This window comes from Homo sapiens, chromosome 15 (assembly GCF_000001405.40).
Source record: "Homo sapiens chromosome 15, GRCh38.p14 Primary Assembly".
NCBI classification, from domain to species: Eukaryota; Metazoa; Chordata; class Mammalia; order Primates; family Hominidae; genus Homo; species Homo sapiens.
In genome coordinates, this window is record NC_000015.10 from 99347822 (window position 1) to 99366874 (window position 19053).

At 37.3% G+C, this 19053-nt stretch overlaps 1 protein-coding gene across 25 annotated transcripts in view; it reads left to right on the top strand.

The window, feature by feature from the left end:
* Window positions 1-19053, top strand: part of LRRC28 (leucine rich repeat containing 28) — a 139249-nt gene that overhangs the window by 96341 nt on the left and 23855 nt on the right. For 16 of the 25 annotated variants that reach the window (NR_135755.2, NR_135759.2, NR_135753.2 and 13 more), the window contains 3 exons: window positions 4548-4650; window positions 13515-13690; window positions 15285-15444. Coding sequence is in view for 18 of the 25 variants with exons in the window: in NM_001321675.2 (NP_001308604.1) it covers window positions 4548-4650; window positions 13515-13690; window positions 15285-15444 (439 nt within the window). In the remaining 7 variants the exon portion in view is untranslated. Of the gene's footprint in view, window positions 1-4547; window positions 4651-5839; window positions 11845-12396; window positions 12466-13514; window positions 13691-15284; window positions 15445-19053 lie in introns of those variants that run through there. The other 9 variants (NR_135757.2, NR_135758.2, NM_001284400.3 and 6 more) reach the window with 6 other exon arrangements.

Genomic DNA, 19053 nt, shown 5'->3' on the forward strand with positions numbered 1-19053 from the left:
AGTTCTATTTTTAATTTCTTTAGGAACCTCCATACTGTTTTCCATAATGGCTGCACCAATCTACAGTCCTACCAACACATACTAGGGTTCCCTTTTCTCCACACCCTCAGCAACATTTGTTATCTCTTATCTTTTTTATAATAGCCATCCTTATAGGTATGAGGTGATAATCTCATAGTGGTTTTAATTTGCATTTCCTTTATTAGTGATGTTGAGCACCTTTTCATCTACCTGTTGGCCTTTTGTATATGTTCTTTGGAAAAATGTCTGTTTAGATGCTTTGCCCATTATTTAATTGAGTTGTTTTTCTGCTATTACGTTATAAGAGTTCTTTATAAATTTTGTATATTAACCTCTTATCAGTTATGTGGTTTGTAGTTATTTGTTTTCCCTGTCAGTAGGTTGCCTTTTCGTTTTGTTAATTGTTTTCTTTGCTGTGCAGAAGCTTTTTAATTTGATGTAGTCTCCTTTATTTTTGTTTTTGTAGCCTGAGCTTTTGGTGTGATATCGAAAAAATCATTGCCAAGTCCAATGTCAAGGAGCTTTTCTCCTATGTTTTATTCTAGGAGCTTTATGGTTTCAGGTCCTATATTTAGGTTTCTTAATCAATTTTGAGTTGGTTTTTGTGTATTGTGTCAGATAAGGGTCCAATTTTATTCTTTTGCATGTGGAAATCCAGCGTTCCCGGCACCATCTATTCAAGACACTTTCTGTTCCCTGTTATGTCCTCTTGGTGCCCATTTATGTTTGGATTCATTTCTGGACTCTCTGTTCTGTTCCATTGGTCTAGGTTTCTGTTTTTATGCCGCATCATAGTGTTTTTGTTACCATAGCTTTGTAAAATAATTTTAAATCAGGAAGTGAGATGCCTCCAGTTTTATTTTTCTGTCTCAGTATTGCTTTGGCTATTTGGGTTTTTTTTGTTGTTTTTTTTTTGTTTTTTTTGTAGCTCCATATGAATTTTAGAAAATTTTTTTCTACTTTTATAAAGAATGCCACTGGAATTTTGATAGACCTTATATTAAATCTGTATATTGCTTTGGGTAGTTTGGACATTTTGACAGTATTAATTCTTCCTATCCATGAACACTGGATATCTTTCCACTTATTTGTGTATTATTCATTTTCTCCCATCAGTTTTTTATAGTTTTCAGTGTACAAATCTTTTTACCTCCTTAGTTACATTTATTCCTAGATATTTTTAAAAAATACTATCATAAATGGGATTGTTTTCTTGATTTCTTTCTTTGGTAGGTTGTTATTTGTATATAGAAATGCTATGAATTTTATACGTTGAAATGTATCCTGTAGCTATAGTGAATTCATTTGTATGTTCTACTAGTTTTTTTTGTGAAATCTTTGGGGTTTCATCTCTTTTATTTTTTACATATTTTCAGCTCAATTAACACCACGGTTATTCTCTTCTGGAATCTGCACACTTTATAATTGTTTTTATCTTCTAGTCTTAGAGATCTTTTTTTGGTGTACTGGAGTAAAAATGGACTAAAAAGTTCATAAATGACACTGAGACAGCTGAATCACCATTTGAAAAAAGGAATTATTAGCTGTACTTTTTATGCCATATATAAGAATAGACTCCAAATAAATTAGGACTCTATTTGTTAAAAAAAGGAAAAGAAAAATGAAACCATGTAAACACTAGAAGAAAACATCGGTGAATTCTGCTTAAACTTGGATGTCACAGGGAAGAGGTTTTCTAACTACGACTCAAACTCTGGAGGCAATTTAGAAAAAGATAAATTGGAAGACTTTTCAGAATTTTGCATGACAAAAATACACCATCAGCTAAGTTAAATGATAGCTGACAAACTGAGAGAAAGTAGTCATAACATAAACCACAGACATGGAACCAATGTCCCTGATACGTAAAGGACTCTTAAAAAACAAGGGATGAAATACCAAAAACCGGATCAAAAAATGAGAAAAATATTTGAACAGGCAATTTACAAAATGTATATAAATGCCCCTCAGACATAGTTTTGAAATGTTCAAACTCATAAGTAGAAAAATGCGGCCGGGCGCGGTGGCTCACGCCTGTAATCCCAGCACTTTGGGAGGCCGAGGCGGGTGGATCATGAGGTCAGGAGATCGAGACCATCCTGGCTAACAAGGTGAAACCCCGTCTCTACTAAAAATACAAAAAATTAGCCGGGCGCGGTGGCGGGCGCCTGTAGTCCCAGCTACTCGGGAGGCTGAGGCAGGAGAATGGCGTGAACCCGGGAAGCGGAGCTTGCAGTGAGCTGAGATTGCGCCACTGCAGTCCGCAGTCCGGCCTGGGCGACAGAGCGAGACTCCGTCTCAAAAAAAAAAAAAAAAAGAAAAATGCAAGTTAAAACAATGTCAAGATACCTTTTCTTACCTATAAGGATGGCAAAAATTTAAAAACGTGATGTTTTGCTTCCTATGGGGAAGCAGATGCTCTCATACGTAGCTGGTAGGGGTGTAAATTGTTGTAACCCTTTTGAGGGAAATTGTGGTTCCTTTTTGTAACTGGGCAGGATGATTGTAGTAAGACCAGCAGGAAGTAATGTTAACCCACCCTACCCTCTCCCACAGGAACTCTTTCTTACCTTAACTTTATATTACGCTCCTCCTGCTTTCTGGGACAAATTGTCCAGAACCCATTTGTGAAGCAAAAGACCTTCAACCAGCCTCTCTAATAGCAGTGATCGTATTGTATTACAGTTACTGTTTTTCCTGTTTCCACATCGGTTATGCTGTATTCATAGCTACATTTCCAAGGCCTAGCACAGTGCCTGAAGGTCCTTAATGGTTAAATGGGTTTTCATTTGCAATGTAAATGAATCTAAAAACCTCCTGATTCAGCTGTCTGGGCCTTTGACTTTCCTAAACTAAAGAAAGATGAGGAGGAGGAGCTCTCCTTCAGCCTATCTTCTATGTTTGTAAGCAGAACCCTAGAAAACCTTTCAAAGACTATGTTCTTTCTTTTTTCTCTCTCTCTTTTTTTAAAACTTTTAGTCAGGGTCTGGCTCTGTTGCACAAGCTGGATGCAGTGGAATGATCTTGGCTCATTGCAGCCTCGACCTCCCAGGCTCAAACGATCCTTTCACCTCTCCTGAGCAGCTGGAACTAGAGACACATGCCAGCACACCTGGCTGATTTTTTTGTATTTTTTTGGTAGAGATAGGGTTTCACCATGTGGCCCAGACTGGTCTTGAACTCGTGGGCTCTAGCAATCCGCCTGTCTTGGCCTCCCAAGGTACTGGGATTACAGGCATAAGCACCACCACCCCCCACCCCTGCCATATTATGTTCTTTCTTAAGAGCAGATGGTTAGCAAGACTGCTCAGGACTCTGTTGTGTACCTCTGTGACAATAAAGACAAATAGCCCTAGTCAGTGAGTGCTTAGGAGCGGAGAGGAGAGCTGGTCGGACATTCCTGGGCACATGGGAAGGGATGGCCTGTATATCTGAGAAGTGTCTCCACCACCTGTACTTGCCGGGAATCTCCATCCGTACTTTCAGCCTTATTTCCTCACTGGATCCTCTTCCATTCTTTGCCCTCTCACTGCCCTGCTACCTCTGGGAAATACCTGAATTCTGCCTCTTTCTGACATTCTTGTTACTGTTGTAGGCCCTTCTTTTGGGGCCCCCTTTCTCAACTTCCTCCCTTTCTAGGTTCATACCCACTCCAGCTCCTGCTCTCTGGCCCTTAAGTCTTGTCTATGCCACTGTCACACCTCACGGGACTGGGATTTGGGTTCTGCTTCACTTCTTCCTCATGAGGAAGTTCTGTCTATTCCTACATCTGCCTGGATCTTCAGACTCCTGCCTAGCCAGTGCCTGATCCCTAATCCTCCTCCATCCACCTTTGCCCATGGGAGGTGAGACACAGGAAATCTCTGTATAAGGTGTTAAAGAAAAAGTTATTCAGTGGCACTTGTTAAAGCATAGTAAGGAAGACTTTATTTGAGACCATCAGCCTAGGTACAGCAACCACTGCAACTGGGTCTTGTAGTTGGGGAAAGAGATTGGGCCAGCTCTGAATATAACGTGGGCAAGTAGGAATTTACAGCCAAGGAGCAAGGTGGTCATTGGATGGAAAATTGCTCAGAGGCAACATCAGGAATAAGGAGACAATATGTAGTTCTGGCAAGAAAAGGGATGACTGACCAAATAGAATTCTTGCTGAAGACAGGCCAGGGTGATTAGACCAAGGAGATGGGGGAGAAAGGAGGAACCCAATCAGATATCCCAAGTGAGGGGTTCTTGCTAAACTGACTTAGCAGAGTTCTTTGCTAAAACTGGATTTTACAGGGTCCACACGTGGACCTAGAAGAAGGTTTAGGAACCTGACTAAAGTTTGGCCAAGCAAAGAATCTGTATCAAGGGGCAGAACTAGGCTTGTTTAGGCTGACCCATAACTTACTTTATATAACACTTTTTATGGTTTTCTTCCAGAGTAGAAATCTTCGAATATTTCTAATACTATGTATTAAATTTTATATTTCACATTATAATGGTGCCTGTATATAGGAATTACAGCACTTTTCTTTCTAATCCAGATTTAGGTCGATCTCGAGAACTACAGTATGTATACGTGGATAACAACATTCACCTGAAAGGCTTGCCATCTTATCTGTACAATAAAGTCATCGGGTGCAGTGGGTAAGGCCGATTTCACATTTTGAACTAAAAAATAGATTAACTACTTTTGGTACTTCTGTTCAATTTTGTCTTTGCCCTTGATGATATGCTAAACCAGGTATCCTTAGAAACTAAGGATATTGGGCAGGCAGTTTGGAATATTGCACATTGGGTTCAGTCAGTAAGTTATTATTTTCTAGTCTAAAGAAAAATGAATCCATGTATACCTTTTTTTATTACAGAAAGAAACACCTTTATTTCCCCCCACACACCCCAGCTTTATTGAGGTAGAGTTGACAAATAAAATTGTAATTATTTAAATGGTACACGTGATGGTTTGATGTACCTACCACACATACCGTTATAAACTCAGTGGTGCTAGTCACAGAAAGTAGAGGAATCAGCATTAATTTAGAAGGTTTTCTTTCACTGAAGCCCATTGCCATGACAGTTTTACTGCAGTGACAGTCCTAGTGTCTAGGATTTTACCAGTTGGAAATATTTAGAACTCAACATTTGAGATAGTCCCTCAAAATAAATCATGATTCTAGCAACCAAAACAGATATTTCAGTTAATGGGCTTTTATTTTCAGAGCAGCAATAATCTTTTCTTTTTAGTCAGGCTTTTAGAAAGATGGCTTCATCTTCTCCTTCTACAACGCTGGCACAGAACCACCCTAAAGTGTTTCCCTGAGTGGCCAAGGATTAAGATGGGGCCACTCAACCACCAGGACCCACTTGTGACTGACCTTCCCTTCCCCACTTCAGCAGCCAAGTGAACACCCCGGGGGCAACCTAATCAGCATGTTTGACTCTCCCCTTCTAGTCCCCATCATCCTGCATGACTTGGCCCATGCTATGAGTAGTTCTGGCAAGAAAAGGGATGACAATAAGTGTATACATAGAAGACAGCCATTCCCCCCGTTGGTATAGCACAACTCCAGGGGCAGTCCTAGGAGTAGTGGCCTTCTTTTAGGAAAACTTATGCAGCTGTCTTGGGAAAGCCCAAGATGAGTTCAGTGCCTATACAGGCTGATGAACTCCAAGCTGAGAGATGTATTCTGGAACCTTCTGTGAAGCAAAGATAATAGAATAGGTGTTTTTAGCTCAGTGATTTTTCTACAGCTGATTATGTCACAGCTGTGATACTATGTAGTCATTAATCCTAATGAGTTCTTAAAGGATCATTAATATAGCCTAATTCTTCCAGGTGGCGAATAAAGTGCCTGCAATCACCATGGTACATAGAACGATGCCAGCAAGCTCCAAAGCTGAAGGCACTTTTTCCCACACCAAAACCTTCAGAGACCACACTGAAATGCGATCTGCATCTCTGCCACAATTAAGGAGTAGCTTTTAAGAAAAAGTGCCTTATACTTTGTCGTTTAGATATAGATGTTATTGACTACTAGAAAGTTCTGTTTGTGCTAAGTAGAGAGATATTTTTAAATCTTTGACTTGGTGTCTGGTAGCAGTGGTAGTGAATTTCATGAGAACTCCAAATCTTTTTAAAAAAACAAAACACTAGGGGAAAATACACAAATTATTAGGTAATAGTCTACTTTTTTATTATTAAACTTTTGTTATAGTAATAGAGAAATAAAATTATTAACAGGATAGTATCAAACAACCAGTTTTCTAATAGTAGTATTGAGGTAATAAGCAGTCCTACTTACAAATGGCCTATAATCTAAAGGCATTTTTAGCCTGTTGGTTTAAATCAAAACTCGAAATGCTTTCTTCATAGAAACAGCTCTGGCCACTGTATTCCTAAGCAAACTCATTAAAGAGTCATTTGACCTATTTTGCACCCCCAAAATTATACTTACAATAATACTTCTATGGCAAAATGTGCTCAGAATTTTAATAGATGATAACTACTGAAGCTTTGACAACAAGCATTAAGAGTCTTCTTTCTTCTGCCTCTTTTATCTGTTGGATATGTGAAAAGGGACTTCCCAGTTCCAGTTCAAAGTAGTGTTGCTTAGTGCCTCAGCCTAAAGGAAAGGAGGGGGAAGGGGTAGTAGCACAAGGGCCTGGGGGAAATCTAGTAAAAGGACATACGTGTGTTGAAAGCCTAGAAAGTGCCCTTCTTGATTCAGAACACGAATTTTGGTCCAGTTGTTCCTTCAGTGAACATTTATTGAGCAACTACTCTGTTTGGTCACTGTATGAGATAATGGCTGTACAGTGATGAGCTAAGCGATGCAGTACCTGCCCGCATGGACCTTCTGATCTAGCCAGGGAGTCAAGCAAACCCTAAATAATTTAACAAACTTGGTACTAGTTCTCTTTAAGGAGGTAATATTTAATCTGAGACCTGAAAGATCAACTCCCTTCGTTCTTCACTGCTATCATATGTTGCATCTGACCTAGATGTAGGCTTGGGATATAAGAACAGTTTCTGCTGTGCTGTACAAGCTCTGAAGCAATTACAGTACCCTTTTCAGATTGAGGGTCTAAGAATTAGAGCAACAACTGAGCAAAATGAACACAGCTTTAGGTACTTGTGGGACAATATAAGAAAAGTCTGAGATATATACGTATTTATCTCAGATTCACATCTCAGAGGGAGAATAGAGAGACAATGGGGTATAAAACTTATAAATAGGTATAAAAACAGCAAATAACAAATGTAGCAGTTTTAAGAAATCTCAGAAGTCTCATAAAATTCTTTTGTATTCATGGAAATGCAAACAAAGTTAGCTTCTTCTTATTCTATGTTTATTTGTCAAATAATTTGTGAACATTAGCAAATCAGCACAGTGCTAGAAATTGTGGGAAAAACCAAGATAGTTTAAATGTTTATCTTGATATGCAAAAATAACTGTAATACAAATAATAAATACCCTAAGAGAGGTAGAGTGATGGAAATGTATAGCATGGAACTGTGTTTTATAACCTAGCTTCAAAGCCACACACTGTTGTTTCTGTTATATCCTGTTGATTACACAGGTCAACCCTATTCACAGTAGGAGGTGACTACATGGAGAGTGACCACTAGGAGCGAGGACCATTGGGGGCCCACTTGGAGACTGGCTGTCACAGCTTCATGGCATCTATACTATTTGCTAGCCTCATGGAAAAGAATGATCTTTATTTTTTCTGGGTTTTTCTTGTTATTACAGGAGTAAATGTCCTCAATCTTCTACATTGTAGCCAGAAAGAGAGGTTCATCCCATGTTAGAATTTTAGAGAATGGTAATTGGCACATATACTTACTGAGGAGAACTTAATGGTAAAAGTAATCCTCTACAGGATGTTTTTTCCAATTGTTTAATTATGTAAGAAAAAAAAAAAAAAACCAAGCCACTACTTTGCTTTTTATTGTGTAAATAAGCAATTATAGCTGGATTTGTGTCCAAATTGGTTAAATACTATTCTAATGGTTTATTAATATAACCACTGAGAGTAATAGAGTTGTTTGTATGAGAAATGTATTCTGAGTTAAACCAGTATACTAAAAGTATCCATTTTTATGTAGGGGCTGCCTGCCCCCAGTATCGGATACCTGAAACACACTTCAGTGGAGCAGGACCAAAGTGGCCTGGCTGCAGATGAAAGTACTCAAGTGTGATTGAAACTGTCATTTAAGAGACTGAGTTTGCAGTTTGACGCCCATGAAGTTAGTTGTTGTTAAAACAAAAATATTAATTACGTTTAAGTGTTAGCGGAATATAAGAGAACCCAGGGTCTCTACAATATAACTTTCACAATATCTAGGAAACGTTCCAAAATTACAAGACATGTAAAGAATCAGGAAAATGTGACCCATTCTCAAGAAGAAAGATGACCAGCAGAGACTCCAATTTGAGATGACCCAGATTGTTGAAGTGACAGAGATTTCAAAGCAACTGTTACAATTATTCTCAATGAAGTAATGAATGAAAAGGCCAGAAAAATAGAGACTAAAAAAAAGGAAATTCTAGAATTGAAAACAGTGTCTGAAGTAAAAAATTAACTTGATGGACTTCATGGCAGAATGGTTGGAACAGAGGAAATGTCACTGAACTGGAGATAGATCAGTAGAAATGATCCAATCTGAAGGACACATAGAAAAGACATTGAAAACAAAAATGAACACAGCATCAGGGACCTGCTAGCCAATATAAAAGAATCTTATGCATGTATAATTGGCATCCTTGAAGGAAAATAGGGAGAGAATGGGTAACGTCAGTAACAAACATGTTTGAAGAAATAATGTTTAAAAATTTCCCAAATTTGATGAGAAACAAATTTACATTTTCAAGAAGCATAGCAAATCCTAAGCAGTATAAATTCAAAGAAAACCATGCGTAGGCAAAGCTGATGGGTACAAAAGATAAAAAGAAAATTTTGAAAGCAACCAGAGAAATAACATTACATACAAAGGAGTAATTCAAAAAGATTGTTAATTTCTCATCAGAAACTTTGAAGTCCAGAAAACAATGCAACTACATTTTATAAGTGCTAAAGAAAAAAGTCAACTCAGAATTATATAAATACATTCTCAGAACAAAACTTAGCCTTAAGTAGCTCTGCCAAGATGACAGACTCTTTGTCCAAGCCAAGGTTTATTCTTTCTAGGTGACATAGTTTCTTTCCATCTCCATATCCACTTCTTCCCTTTCCTTTTACTTTTAAGCTGAAGAAAAACTTTTTTGCTAAAAAGGAGAAGGATAAATCTGTAGTAGCTCCCACAAAAATGCACATGTAGATGACACAGCATACTTTCTGAAGGAGAAAAGATCATTATTTGGGTACTATCAAAATTCATACAGCTCTCACTCCCCTCTCAGTCTATTATATATTAATGTCTGTCTCTCCTCACTATAATAGGCCCAGCTCTGATCTTAAGTATGTTCCTCACAAATGTATATGCTCATATGTACCAAATACACAATTTTTATGGAGGCACAATTTGTAGTAGCTCCACACTACAAACAGCCCAAATGTCCATCATTACTGCACAGCAATGAAAATTAATAAACTACAGTACACAAAGCAACATGGATGAATTCCAGAAGTATAATGTTGACAAAAGAAACCAGGCACAGCAACCTTCATGCTGTTCAAAAAGGCCAAACCAGACTATAGTGTTAGAATTTGGAATAGTGCTTCCCTTTGGGGTATGGGTTTTGCTTAGCAGTGGGACCCAAGGTGGTCTTCTGAGGTTCTTGTTCTTGACCTTGGTGGTGATTAGTGTGTTCATCTTGTGAAAATCACAGCAATTGTGACTTGTGTACTTTTCTATATGATTATATTTTTAAATAATGTTTTAAATATTTTAAAGTTTACCTTAAAATATCGATAATTTATTCAACATTATATTAAAGAAAAACACAATTATATTGGTATGTTAAGAGAAACTTTTGATGATTTTGTATGATTTCTGATTTTGATGAATTCTGTAGCCACATATAATAATAATTTTTATATTAAATGATGATGTATTCAAACTATGGCCATTAAAATCAGGAATAGGAGAGGAGTGAGGGCCCACTGTCACCACTGCCATCTGTCTAATGCAATAAGATGGAAAAAAAGGAAATAGACATTATAAATACTGGGAAAAAAAGAACCAGAAAGACCTTTATAGGTGATATGCTTGAATACCTAGAAAACTCAAGATATGCTACCAAAAAAAATCTTTCAGACACCTAAAAGAATTTAGTAAGGTGGCTAAATATAAGATAGCATACAAAGATTAGCAGCTTTTCTTTATGTCTTCGTAAATTAGAAATCAAAGTTAGGGGGAAAATGTCATTTATCTTTGTACCACACATTTAAATATACAGTAATAAATATCACAAGAAAGGAACAGAATCTATGTGAAGAAAATTGTGAAATTTTTATTAAAGGATAGGATATAAAGCACTAGGTGGATAGTACAGAGATACCATGTTTGCAAATAAGGAAATTTATGATCAAATTACCTGTCTTAACATAGAAATCGATGTTAATTCTAATACAAATCTCTGGAAGGCTTTAGGGAAATAGAGATAAAATAATTGTAAAGTTCAAATTGAATGATAACTGAGAATTGCAAGAAAAAAATTGAACAATAATAGTTAGGGCAGACTTGTCAAATGATAGAATCTTCTATAAAGTATTGTAATCAAAACAATATAGAACTGACACAGAATTAAACTGATACATCACTGAAACAGACTAAAGACTCCAGAAAGCAATGCCAGTGTATTTGGGAACTTAATAGGATAAAAAGAACAGTTCAATTCAGAGGTAAATGATAGTGTTGTTTAATAATGCTACCCGTATTATTTTTCCATTTGGAAAAAAAAAGCTATGTCCTATTTTATATTATATAACCAAGTAAGACAAATAGATAAAACATCTACACGTAAAGGCCAGGTGCGGTGGTTCATACCTGTAATCCCAGCACTTTGGGAAGCCGAGGCGGGCCAATCACTTGAGGTCAGAAGTTCAAGACCAGCCTGACCAACATGGTGAAACCCCGTCTCTACTACAAATACAAACTAACCGGACGTGGTGGCGGGTGCCTGTAATCCTAGCTACTCAGGAGGCTGAGGAGGTGAATCACTTGAACCCGGGAGGCAGAGGTTGCAATGAGTTGAGATCACAGACTGTACTCCAGCCTAGGTGACAGAGCAAGGCTCTGTCTTAAAAAAAAAAAAATCTACATGTAAAAATACAATAAACATACTGGAAGAAACTTTAGGATAATATATGCACAGTCTTCAAATCAGGGTAACCCTCTTAAGAAATTCAGAAAAATGTAGATACCATGAAGGAAATAAGTGGATAGATTTCACATCAGAAAAGAATGCTGACAAAGAGAACCATATGCAAAGTTAAAAGACAAAAACATTTTTGTCGATAAATATTTCAGTGCATATGACAAAGGATTGTTATTGCCAATATGGAAGTTCCTACAAATTGATATATTTTAATTTAATAGAAAATGAGATAAGGGATGGACGTGGACAGTTTACAGAAGAAGAAATGTAAATGGCCAGCAAGGCTAACAAAAGGTGATCAAACTCATTAGTAACCAAGGAGGCATTTCCATTAATCAGCCTAGCAAAAACTAAAATGACTGATAACATCCAGTTCTGATGATGGTGTGGGGAAATGGATGCTTTCTTACCAATCTTTTTGGAAAGATCTCAGGCATTTAAAATGTTCATTTTTCATGGCCAGTGGTCTCAGTTTGGGAATTTTACTATAATAAAAACATCTGTGCATTGGAATGTATGTAAGATTTATTGTGATGTTGTATGTGTAGTAGGAGAGAAAACATTGAAACCAGGATAAACATAATGAATAAATTAATAAACTGTGGTTCATCCATAGTATGGAATATTACAAAAGAAATTCTCTAAATCTATCTTGATTGGCATAAAAGATTATGTGAACAAAATCGCATTTCAGAATTATTTGCTTTAGGAACTAACAGAGAAAGCCACTGGCTTCTTACCCATAATGATATTCCATACCTCTTCTGTTTATCTCAGGCTCTCATTTTCAAGACCCTAAAGACTTCCCCATTTCTGTTTCCTTCTGTATTTGGGTTCTCTTTACCTCTTTGCCACTTATCAGTCCCTTTCCTGTCTACCATACTGTGGTCAGATATTTGGTAAAAAACAAAACAAAACAAAGAAAAAAAAACCACACCTAACAGTCTTCCCCGTGAATTAAAACCATCTAACTTCAGCTAATATTCCTGGCCTCCTTCCCCTGTCCATCCATACCCTGCATCCCTGTTTCCAGCACTGTTGAAACCAAGACGTAGCCATATTCTTTCAGGCTTCTGTACTGCTGCACATGCTGTTCCCTCTGCTTGGAATGCTCATAACACATTTCCATTTATTCCAGGTGAGTTGAACATTAAGTCAGATATTGTCTTATCTTTAAAATCTCCCCTAATTCCCTGGACAGAGTCAGTCAACCCTTCTTTGCCCCCACATTAGAATAATTGTAATGATTTTCTCCCAAAGGAAGGGTTCATTCTTGTTTTTCTTAATTTAAGTATCTTAACTGACTGGCATATAGTAAGTGCTCTGGAAATGTTTTCTGATGGAGAGAAAGAACAAATGAAGAAACTTTTAAAAAATAAATGAATCAAGGGCTTCTGGCTTCCAGTCCTGTCCCCTAAGCTTCATTGCTTGTATCTGGTCAAGGTTAGTGATATTATTTCATGTTGTCTTCAGAGCCAAGGTTTGTTGGCCAGCTGTTTGTCATTAGACAAGAAAAGTATTGAGGCTCTTAGGTTACCCAATGGTTTCACACAAGAAATAGAATGAGATTGGATTTGTGAGTTTCGGTAACACTGCAGCATTAGGAACGAGGACATCTCTGCCTTCTGGTTATGAGTGGCTGCAGGGAATAGGGCATGACTTGGCTTATTGAGTATGCCAAGAATATTTTCCCCACAAGTTTATGGAAGGATCCAATAAAGTTATCTTCTGCCATTTAAAATCTATTTGCTTTGTGGGTTTAAGTTTTTCTATACAAAAATTCTATTAAACCAAGATGCTGTTACTCAACAAAGTACTCTTTTTTTTTCTTTTAATTTTGAGAGTTTCAGAAAAACACGTACTTGGAGAGGGTAATAAAATTGGGAAAAGTAAAATTTACAAAGCAAATTGTGTACGGCCTAAGAAGGAAAGTTCCTTTAAAGTTCATCCTTGCTGGAAGTGACTGGGCCTCAGCAATGATTTAGCTGAGTTCCAACTGATGAGTTTAGATTGCTGGGCCAGGTTTTATGAAGGAACCCGGGATAGCATCTGTTCACTTTGAAAAGAATTCTGGCAATTCAGCAGTGTCATAAATTTTCAAATGTATATTTTGATTAACACATTTTATTGGCACCCATATTCTTTTCCTTATTGCTAATAATACTGTGAATGTGTGTCTTTCTGCAGCTGTGGTGCTCCCATTCAAGTTTCCGAGGTGAAGCTGCTTTCCTTTTCATCAGGGCAGCGAACCGTTTTCCTCCCAGCTGAGGTGAAGGCCATAGGGACGGAGCATGATCACGTCCTCCCTCTGCAGGAATTGGCTATGAGAGGGCTGTATCATACCTACCACAGCTTGCTGAAAGGTACGTGGGACTTCTGGTTTTCTTATTTTTCTCTCTCATTTAGTGAACATTGTGCTTGGTGCACCTGTTTTGGCGTTCATCTTTAAAAAAAAAATTATTGTGGTAAAATACACATAACACGAAAGTAACCATTTTATCCATCTTTAAGTATACAGTTCAGTGGCATTAAGTCCATTCACATTGTTGTGCAACAGGATTTTTCTAATAAGAAAAATAGTTTTGATATTTTATTAACACTGATCACTTTAGCACCCCCTACAGGCACAGAGAAGCATTCTTAAAAAACGTGGTTGTCAGTTGCAAAGCACGGTGCTTAAAAGTTCAAGTTTCAAGTAAGGAACTTGGTGTTTGGGAATGTGTATTTGGTTGAAGTAAAAGGCTGGCAGTAGGAAATTTGGAAAGATCTTGTCCTCAAAGTTGGATACGTCAATAGAGCAGGTTTTTGCCTTGCCGCCTCCTCGCATCTCAGCAATATGTAGACCTAAAGGAGGTAGAAGTACTGGGAGCCGTTGGCAGTACTGTCGCAGCGTGCCAGCTAAAATTTGGAAAGGATTTGGCCGTGCACAGATTTGATAGGTATTGTGGGTGTATGTCTGAAATGCTTTAAGACAGCGCTAGGCAATATTAATATGAAAAATACATTTCAGGTGTTTTTAAAACTGTGAAATGTTTCGTCTTTACTTAAAAAAGAGTCCATACAAAAACATCTCACATTAACCTTCCAGAAATGCCTAGTGCAAAGTTAAGTTGGTTTTAAAAGCTAAACAGAAAATTATAGTTGTTCACCAATCAGTCAATTCCATTTTTCTAAGTGTTATTGATGAGTCTGGACAGATATAAAAGGTAAAAAGATGATTTGTATCTCCTTCCCAAAGATGAGTTGATAATTTTTAGATTTCACCTCAGCATGACCATGCCTCTTTCTGTTGGATGCTCATCATCAGTAGAAACCCAGTGTAAATGTGTCTTCAAGATTGCCTGGGCCACTGGGATGTTTTGCTTTAAATGTCTGTTTTGTGTAGCTCAGACTAAGCTGGGAAGGAAGCTCCCTGCTTTTATTAATGACAGCTTATGAGAGTAAGTCAAGCAAACGCTTGGTTTCATTATTTTTCATTCTTTTTTTATTTCCTCCTTTTCATTCTCTTCAATAAATATGATTTAGCCTTGGTGGAGGATTGATACTAAATGCCTGATAGATTAGGGAGAACTTAATGAAACTCAGTTTTAGTCATCAGTTCCAAAAATTCTCTGACTCTTATTAAAGTTTCAAAGTCCTCTTTGGGTGAATTATTCCTTTTTGATCTTTGTTCTTAAAAAATATTTTATCTCACTTATTCCTTGCCTCTACCTCAGGACAGCTTCTGGCTCTTAAAATGAGTGAATTTGTGTTTTCTTTTAGTATCAAAAATATAAAAAAAAAATTTCATTTTCAAATGTTAGATTTTTATTCAGTGTGTATCAATCAGATAACAGAATTTTCAACATGAAGTACTTTTAAGTAACTGAACTTATTTGGTAACAAATATTTTAAGAAGCGTAGTTTAAGGAAGTCTGATTTTTTTACTCGTGTGCGTGATTTTCTTTTGTGTTCCAGATTTGAACTTTCTGTCTCCAATCTCATTACCCAGAAGTCTCCTAGAGCTGCTGCACTGCCCTCTGGGGCACTGTCATCGGTGTAGTGAGCCTATGTTTACCATCGTCTACCCCAAGCTCTTTCCCTTGAGAGAGACGCCAATGGCAGGGCTGCACCAGTGGTAATCATGCCTAAGTGGGCACCAGGGTTTACACCCAGGCAAGGGGTGGCAGGTGGGGAGGGGAGAGGCTGTGCATGAAAGCATTAAGTCAGCAGTTTTAAAGGGGCATAACATGCTTCCTGAGAAACAGCTAAATGAAACGATGCTCACTTTCAACATCACAAGAAAACTGGACTTGCCTTTATTAATTTTTTGGTCATGTGCTGGACAGTTTTATTGTATATATTATTTAGAGGAGCTCATTCTTTGTGAGAATGTTTTCCTGCTATTTCCCTATTCACAGTAGCCTTTAGGCAATAAGGGATGCAAGAAAAAAAAATGTGTTACATAACGGGATGAGCCCAGCTCTTTTGCTTGGTTGGTGTTGCTAACTGAAAATGTGTGATTGAGTTCTCTGTATGTGTGTGTGTTTGTGTGCATGCGCACACACACACATTTCTGTTTTGAATTTTTAACCCTTCCAAATGGCATTCTCATGCCACTCTTTATTTCTTGGCACATTGCCTTGAATTTGCGAAGAATGTTCACTAAGTAAAACCCCAATAGTTCTACTTTAAAAAAAGGATAGCAGCTAAAGATAGGCTCTCAAATGAAAAATTCCCCACTTGCACAACCTTAGTTTATGGGCTTCCTAAATTTAGGAAACTAAATTTAAACTTTTTCTAAGTTTGAATTTTTTAAGTAAAAAAAAGTACTATAGTACCTCATTTATCACCATCAAATGTATTTCATATGAGTAAATTTTCCACATAACTGAAGCCATTACCCCTCTTTCCATGCCAAAAAGCATTTTGCTTGTAGTCATGTTAATAGAAACCTCTCCAAGATTTTCTTTCCCTCCTTCGTTTCTTAGTCCATGCAAGATAGGCAATATGGGGCAGTGTTCAGAGCATGGACTTTGCACCCGACAAGTCTGGCCCTTCTGTTGTGAGAACGTGGGCAGGCTGTGGGACTTCTCAAAATGGGGATACAACAGCCTGCGTGGCAGGGCCATGTGAGGCTTGGCAGATGAGAAAGGCACACACCTGGCATGTAAGAGGTATTCAACAAATGGTAGTTCCCATTTACATAGCTCTACTCACGCCATCCCAAAACCGTGTTTATCTTTTTCTTCCTCTGGATAATCCTGTTTTGCTATATTTCACTTCCTATTTCAATCTTCTGTATTTTTAATGTTTCCTGCTTACAGGAGCCCTCCTCCAAATCTTTCTAATTTGCTACTTCTAAGGTGATCAGATAACCAGATTTGGTGGAATTGCATTTAAATTAGAATAAAAATAATTGAATTGGGTTCTGACTGTATTACTACATGAATAAAATTAACAAATAAAATAGATACGTTTATGAGAATCTTACAGTGGTGAAGTGCACAGGCCCTGATTCCAACTCCACAAGGCCACCTCAGGCAACTTACTGACCATCCCTGAGCTTAGTCTTTTCATCAATAGAATGGGAATAATAATAATATCTATTTAATAGGGTCATTGTGAGAATTAAATGTGATCATCCCTGTGAAGAGCCCAGGATGGTGTCTGGCAAGTAATAAAAAGCAAATGTTAACTATTATTATCTATTTTTGTAGTTTAGAGATTTTTTATTTCTTATTTTTGCTGTGTTTTTAGCAAATGATCTTTATATTAGCAAGATATCATCACAGGAAAATCTTAACTAATTCATTAAACTACAGTTCAAACCCTTATGCATTGTTATTATGCAGTTTCCTATAGAAGACATTTCCTTATTGAAAATATGAAAATGTAAACAAAATGATAGGGTCAGGATGCTCAGTAGCCAATCAAATTCTGAATACCTGTTTTTAAAATTAAACTTTTTTAATCTTGGCAATTCATTTACGAAAATAAAGTAGATCCTTCAAATCACTTTTATGTTATCTTTATATGAAATTTGGGGAATTTAGTCAGTACTTGCATTTTCCATTTACTGTTTAATTTCCCTGCTACAACTTAGAAATGTAGTGTGACTAATCTATTGTTTCAGAACATAAATATTATTAATTTCATAAAATGAGTATATCAAGTACATAGGACTAAGGCAATGTCCTTTTCTTGCATAAAGCCAGAGTGCCTCTGTTTATAGCAGAGATGAAATGCCAAGATACAAACATGGCTTTCTGTGGGAAGTTAATGGTAGGGTCTGAAATTGAGAGTTTGTGGCTTTCATTCAGCCCACCAGGCTGTGCTCCTTCCCATGTTGCCATGGAGATTGTATTAAAAGCACCGGCTTCAGTTTCTACCATAGTCTTAAAAGTACTTCCTTTTGTAGTTGAAAACCAAATACTTGAATCTCCAGTAGCTTGTTGCTGAAAATATTTTTTAATATCATAAACTCTAAAAGATCTTTCTAAGTTTTCTAATATATTCAGTTGTTTGCATTGCTTGTCATAAAATACATTATATCAGCCAATATCTAAATTAATGTGAACATCTGGCATTATTTCAAAAAGGAACATATTGAATATTCTTCTAAAATACCAAATTCAGTGGAAGTGTTAGTTTCAACCTAAATTTAATACAGAGTGAAGTAAAAAGAAATGACAGTATTTTGCATAAACAGTAAATACCCAAACTTTCAAATATTTATAGCAAAGAAGAATAGCTAGTAAATTCATGACTTTTGATCCTGTAGGCATAGCAAATTTTCACTTTCAAAACTTATTGTTCATTTATTAAAATGGAGAACTTCAACATAGAAGATTATTTCTTAATAAAATAACATGTCTCTTTTCCCAAGCATGTATGGGTCTTACAAGTTCCATATTTCCCAGTAGGAAACCAGGCTACCAGAGTTTTTCAGGGGCATTGGGTTAGTTTGCCAGGGATGCTGCAACAAAGTGCTGCAAACTGGGTGACTTAAACAACAGAAATTTATTGTATCTCAGTTTTGGAGGCTGGAAGTCCAAGATCAAGGTGTCAGCAGGGTTGGTTCCTTCTGAGGCTGTGAGGGAGGGATCTGTTCCAGGCCTCCATGGCTTGTAGATGACCATCTTCTCCCTTCGTCTCTTCACATCATTTTCTCTTTATGAATGTCTGTCTCTGTGCACAAGTTTTCTCTTTTTATAAGGACACCATTCATATTGGATTAGGGCCTACCCTAATGACCTCATCTTACCTAACTATTATATATGCAAGGACATTGTTCCCAAATAAGGTCTCTATATTAGTCAGCACAGGCTGCCATAACAAAATGACAGGGTGGCTTAAACAGCAGAAATTATTTTCCCATAGTTCTGGAGGAAAGAAGTCTGAAATCAAGGGGTCAGCATGGTTGCGTTCTGGTGAGGGCTCTCTTCCTAGCTTGCAGGCAACCAACTTCTCATCGTCTCCTTACATGGCAGAGAATGTCTCTTCTTATAAGGGCACAAATCCTATCATGAGGATTCCACCTCATGACCTCATTTAAACCAATTATCTCCCAAAGACCTCCTCTCCAAATGCCCTCACACTGGGGGTTTGGGCTTCAACATATGAATTTAGGAAGGAAACAGTCCAGTCCATAATAGTCACATTATGAGGTACTAGAGGTTAGGACTAAAGCACAGGAATTTTGGGGGCTATACAATTCAACCCATAACAGTCTGCGTTCTGGCCC